Here is a 6,000-nt window from a genome sequence, read left to right on the forward strand (position 1 = left end):
CTCTGCCACTTATCCACTGAGTGATGTGGGAGGGCAGGCCACTGAACCTCTCCTGCCCTCAGATTTCCCCTCTAGGATGAGGCTAGTGAGTCCAAGTCATGGGGCTATTATAAAGATTAAAAATGAGATGGCCAGGGGCAGTGATGTGTCTGTAATCCCAGCTATTAATACTTGAGAGGCTGAGGTGAGAGGATTGCTTGAGCCCAGGAGTTTCAGGCTACAGTGAGCTATTATGGCACCACTGCACTCCAGTTTGGGCCACAGAGTGAGACCCTATCACTAAAAAAAAAAAAAAAAAAAAAAAAAAGAGAGAGAGGCCGGGCAGGGTGGCTCACGCCTGTAATCCAAGCACTTTGGGAGGCCGAGGCAGGTGGATCACCTGAGGTCAGGAGTTTGAGACCGGCCAACATGGTGAAACCTCGTCTCTACTAAAAATACAAAAAAAAATCAGCTGGGCATGGTGACGGGCGCCTGTTGTCCTAGCTACTCAGGAGGTTGAGGCAGGAGAATCACTTGAACCCAGGAGGCGGAGGTTGCAGTGAGCCGAGATCATGCCGTTGCACTCCAGCCTGGGTGACAGAACAAGACTCCGTCTCAAAAAAAAAAAAAAAAAAAAGAAGAGAAGTAATGGAAATGATATCCTCCAACTGCAAGCAACCCAAATGAATGTCCAAATGTCCTTTAACTCTTCAACTGATATACAGATAAACAAACTGTGGTACATCCAAATAATGGAATACAACTCGCCAATAACGAGAAACAGACTATTAACATGCACGACATATGCAACAACAACAGAGATGAATCTCACATGCACTCTGCCAAGTGAGAAAAGCAAGACACAAAAGAGTGCATATTTTTGTGGAATGATGTATGATTCCATCTATGAGACATTCTAGAAAACATAAAGCTAGAAGCACAGAGAACATACCAATGGTTGCTAGGGGTTGGGGGTGGCAATAGAGGAGACTGCAAAGGGGCATCAAAGAATTTGGTGGTGGGGGTGGGAGAAGTCTTTTTTATCTTTTTTTCTTTTTTTTTGAGATGGCGTCTCACTCTGTTGCCCAGGCTGGAGTGCGGTGGTATGATCTTGGCTGACTGCAACCTCCACCTCCTGGGTTCAAGCAATTCTCCTGCCTCAGCCTCTCAAATAGCTGGAATTACAGGCATGCGCCACCATGCCCGGCTAATTTTTGTATTTTTAGTAGAGATGGGGTTTCACCACATTGGTCAGGCTGGTCTCGAATTCCTGGCCTCATGTGACCCACCCACCTCGGCCTCCCAAAGTGCTGGGATTACAGGCGTGAGCCACTGCGCCGGGCCCTTTTGCATCTTGATCATAGTAGTGGCTGTGAGACTGTATACATTTGTGACAACTTGCAGAACTGCCCACTAAAAAGGATACATTTTACTGCATGTACATTATGCATTATTAAACCTGACATTAAAAACGCAAAAGCTGAAAAAAAAACTGGGGCCTAGTTAGTGGCCCCAGAAAGAAAATACCTATAGATTCCTTTTTTTTTTTTTTTTTTTTTTTTTTTTTTTTTGAGACAGAGTTTTGCTCTTCTTGCCCATGCTGGAGTGCAGCAGTGCAATCTCGGCTCACAGCAACCTCTGCCTCCCGGGTTCAAGCAATTCTCCTGTCTCACCCTCCCAAGTAGTTGGGATTACAGGCATGCGCCACCACGCCTGGCTAATTTTGTGTTTTTAGTAGAGACGGGGTTTCTCCATGTTGGTCAGGCTGGTCTCCAACTCCCGACCTCAGGTGATCTGCCCGCCTTGGCCTCCCAAAGTGCTGGGATTACAGATGTGAGCCACTGTGCCCGGCTAGATTCCTTTAAATTCAAGTGTTTATTGCAATGTGTTCTTCCCTGTAGCATTTTTACTTTTGTAAAAAGAGCCTGAAACTTTTGTATAAAAAGAAGGGTGGCTGTGTGTGCATGTGTGCATTTATTGTATATGCATAAAGAAACTCTGGAAAGATACACAAGAAACTAATAACATCAGAGACTGTGGGAGTGGGATAAGAATTAGGGAGAAGGAGGACTTGGTAAGGGAAAGAGAAAGAAAATTGTGTGTGTGTGTGTGTGTGTGTAATGTATATAATTTTTGAACCATGTGAACAGATTACCTATAAAAACATTAAATTACCAAAAAATCAAAAGGTTGAAAAGAAAGGGAAATGCTTAATCCCTAGGTGTGACTCTCCACTGGAGGAATCTGTAGGGGGTGGGATTCTTGTGGCAGCTACATCACATGAGCGTCTGCTTCCTGGGCCTTGGCCCCACCCACCTGGTTTAGTAAACTGGAAGCAAGACTGCGTTCCCGAGCAGATGGCCCAGGGTGGCTCCTGGTCCGGTTCAACAGAGAGTAGCTCTAAGCACACGCCCTTTCTTCCCCAGACATCTCCCCAGTGTGTATTCCAGTGGTAGACATTCCTTTTAGTCTTTCACCCCACAATTGGAATAAGACTTCACATTGCAGGTTTTCACCGAAGGAGTAATGATGGGCCTAAATTCATACTTCGTTGTAAATGTCTGATATCAGATTCTTAGACTCTTTCCCAGAGACCTGTTTTGTAAGAGAGCGATCAGACCTTATGAAGGTCTCAGGCTCCTGAAATCTAGGGCAATGGAGGCTTGGAAGACACAAGTTAATTACTTCCCAGTCTTGGCCGGGCGCGATGGCTCACGCCTGTAATCCCAGCACTTTAGGAGGCCGAGGCGGGTGGATCACGAGGTCAGGAGATGAAGACCATCCTGGCTAACACGTGAAACCCCGTCTGTACTAAACATACAAAAAAATTAGCCGGGCGTGGTGGCGGGCGCCTGTAGTCCCAGCTACTCGGGAGGCTGAGGCAGGAGAATGGCGTGAACCCAGGAAGCAGAGCTTGCAGTGAGCCGAGATCGCGCCACTGCACTCCAGCCTGGGCGACAGAGCAAGACTCCGTCTCAAAAAAAAAAAAAATATATTACTTCCCAGTCCTGTTTGTGGCAGACCTAGATGAAAGTTCTAGGAAACACATGCTTTGGAATCAGCCTGAACTTGAATCTCAGGACCCAGTCTGTTCCTACCTGTGAGCCCTTGGCCAAGTATTTCTCCTCTCTCTGTCTCGTTTTCTCATCTGTGAAATGGGAATGCTAATAACACCTTTGCCGGATGAGTTGACATGAGAGTAAGAGGCGAGCTTGTGGGTGACCGCAGGCAGTGCCATGAATGACCCACTTTAGGTGCTGAGCACCCAGGAGCCCTTCTTAGTGCGATTTGCCTGGGCTGCCTTGAGACCACACATGTGATGCGGGGGTGGGGGGGAAAGGGTAACAGAGAGGAGCAGTGACATGGAACAATCCCAAGAATGAAAGCAGGGCGGCGGGGCTGACTCACCGGATGACTCACTTCCTTGCCCAGGGATGTTCTGAGCATCCACGGAGCTGCTTCTCATAGTTCTCATACCCTTGGTTCCTTCTCTGTGGGGAAGGCAGGAGGAAGATGCCCCTCCTCGCCCAGAGCAGGGATCAGAATGTGGGACCTTCTCCGTCATACCCAGAACCATGGAGACTAGCTGGCACCCCATTTTTTAATTCACAAAATAACAGTCCCCATAAGATGTAATCTTTTTAAGGAAGAATAGTTTTTGCCCCAGGAGTACAGGAGAGATTCTAGACTCCTTTTGCCCTTTTCCAAATTATCACAGGGAGATCTGGACCCCGTAGAATATTTGAAAGTGCAGAAAAATGCAAAGAAGCAGAAAAAATCACCTATAATCCTATCGTTTAAACTTTATCACAGTGATGAGTTTGGTATTTTTCCATTCTATTTTTTTTCTCTGTATTTTTTCATTATATAGTCAAGTTTCTGCAGTCTATATCAGCACTATTCAAAGGAAATATGCAAACCACAGGTGTGAACCATATATGTAATTTAAAATGCTTCAGAAGCCTCATTAAAGAAAAATAAAAACAGGTGAAATTGTGTGTGTGTGTATGTGTGTGTGTGTGTATATATATATATATATATATATATATTTTTTTTTTTTTTTTTTTTTTTTTTTTTTTTTTTTGAGATGGAGTCTCACCCAGGCTGTAGTGTAGTGGCATGATCTTGACTCACTGCAACCTCTGGGTTCAAGCGATTCTTCTGCCTTAACTTCCTGAGTAGCTGGGATGACAGGTGCCTGCCACCATACCTGGCTGAATTTTTATATTTTTAGTAGAGACGGGGTTTCGCCATGTTGGTCAGGCTTGTCTCAAACTCCTGACCTCAGGTGATCCGCCCGCCCTGGTCTCCCACAGTGCTGGGATTACACGCATGAGCCACTGCACAATATATTATATTCAACCAAATATTTCAACAATATCATTTTATCATATAATCAATATAAACATTTAGCAATTTTTATGATTATTAAATTAAAAATGAGATATTTTACATGCTTGCACATCTGAATTCAGAGTTAGCCACATTCAAGTGTTCAGTAGGCACGTGGGGCTGGTGACTACCATGTTGAACAGTGCAAGCCTGTGCAACCCCTTTTTTTTTTTTTTTGAGGCAAGGTCTTACTCTGTCACCCAGGCTGGAGTGCAGTGATATGATTATGGCTCACTGCAGCCTTGACCTTCTAGGCTCAAGTGATCCTCCAGCTTCAGCCTCCCAAGTAGCTGGACTACAGATGTATGCTGCCATACTTGGCTAATTTCTTTTTCATTTTTTTAGAGGTGGGGTCTCACTGTGTTGTCCAGGCTGGTCTCGAACTCTGGCCTCAAGCAATCCTCCTTCCCAAAGTTCTGGGATTACAGGCATGAGCCTTGTCTGGCAAGTTCATGCAATTTCTAACTTGCTTTTGTTTTTGCTTAAATTACATCCTAAGTATTTCTCATATCATAAAATCTCTTTTGAAAAAGATAACTTTTATGAATTTCAATAACATGTATTTATTATCTAATACCAAAGGTAATATATTGGTTCGTGTTTTGGTTTGGTTTTTGTTTCTGGCCATTCAAGAACAATTTATGTTAGCTGTTTGATATAATTACTTCCCGACTATTTTCTCAGCAGACATTCACATTGAACAAAAATTGGATGCATACAATATGTACTGCTTTATAACCACCCTTTTCATTTATTGATATGTTATAAACATACAATGTCAGAGTTACACATGAGCCTGTATCCAGAGCCAAGCAGCCCAAACAACTGTTCTCTTCTCAGCAGTGGGAGGGGTAGCATTTGCATCCCCACTTCTCAAAAGTGGGAACTGAGGCTTAGAAAAGTAAAATGATTTTCATGATTATGAAGTTGAGATTCAACCCAGGTCTTTTGATTTTATCTCCAGAGCCTTTCATTTTTAACATATGGTCTCCTTCTGGAAGGAGGCATGGAAGGGATCCAAGATATGCCAAAGAAGCAATTTACAAATTAACGTTTGGAGTAGCATTCTCAGTAAATTGGGACTGTCTCCACCCATAGTTTTGCCTAACAAGCTTCCCGATCACCCAGGTAAATCCTTTTCCCTCCTGCACTCACGTCTCTGCAAGGCTGCCATCTCCTTGTGGGACACTCCCTCCCCATTCCCACCATGAAACGTAACTCTGTAACTTCCAAGAAAGAATCCTGATGGTCTAAGTCAGAGTTTATCCATCTCAGCGCTATTGATATTTGAGCCACATAATTCTTTGTTTTAGGAGGTGTTCTGTACTTTGTCGGATGTTTACTATCCTGACCTCTACCACTAGGTGCCCGAAGCACTCCTCCCCCGCCCCCCAGAAGTGACATTCAAAAATGTCTGCAGACATTGCCAAATGTCCCCTGCGGGGAACATCACCCCACTTGGAGAACCACCCCTCTAAGTATTATCAGATGGAGAAAATCTTTCCTAACTCAGTCATTTGATGCTACCCACAGACTAGATAGAGCAATTACTTCTTTGTTTTTCTTTTTTTCTGAGACAGAGTCTCACTTTGTTGTCCAGGCTGGAGTGCAATGGTGTGACCTCAGCTC

General features: G+C 44.3%; 4 annotated features.

The window, feature by feature from the left end:
- Positions 2,168-2,462: an enhancer, noted in NCBI's record as "tiled region #4304; HepG2 Activating DNase unmatched - State 5:Enh, and K562 Activating DNase matched - State 5:Enh". NCBI's record gives its function as "activates a minimal TATA promoter and a strong SV40 promoter by Sharpr-MPRA in HepG2 and K562 cells {active_cell/tissue: HepG2 | K562}" and the evidence as "EXISTENCE:reporter gene assay evidence [ECO:0000049][PMID:27701403]".
- Positions 2,450-3,649: an enhancer, noted in NCBI's record as "P300/CBP strongly-dependent group 1 enhancer chr16:69563811-69565010 (GRCh37/hg19 assembly coordinates)". NCBI's record gives its function as "activates an origin of replication core promoter dependent on BRD2, BRD4, P300/CBP, MED14 and CDK7 cofactors, with strong dependence on P300/CBP, by STARR-seq in HCT116 cells {active_cell/tissue: HCT116}" and the evidence as "EXISTENCE:reporter gene assay evidence [ECO:0000049][PMID:35650434]".
- Positions 2,919-3,628: an enhancer, noted in NCBI's record as "H3K27ac-H3K4me1 hESC enhancer chr16:69564280-69564989 (GRCh37/hg19 assembly coordinates)". NCBI's record gives its function as "activates a minimal SCP1, AML or CMV promoter by ChIP-STARR-seq in primed H9 embryonic stem cells {active_cell/tissue: H9 hESC(primed)}" and the evidence as "EXISTENCE:reporter gene assay evidence [ECO:0000049][PMID:30033119]".
- Positions 3,208-3,502: an enhancer, noted in NCBI's record as "tiled region #2580; HepG2 Activating DNase matched - State 5:Enh, and K562 Activating DNase unmatched - State 1:Tss". NCBI's record gives its function as "activates a minimal TATA promoter and a strong SV40 promoter by Sharpr-MPRA in HepG2 and K562 cells {active_cell/tissue: HepG2 | K562}" and the evidence as "EXISTENCE:reporter gene assay evidence [ECO:0000049][PMID:27701403]".

This window comes from Homo sapiens, chromosome 16 (genome assembly GCF_000001405.40).
Source record: "Homo sapiens chromosome 16, GRCh38.p14 Primary Assembly".
NCBI classification, from domain to species: domain Eukaryota; kingdom Metazoa; phylum Chordata; class Mammalia; order Primates; family Hominidae; genus Homo; species Homo sapiens.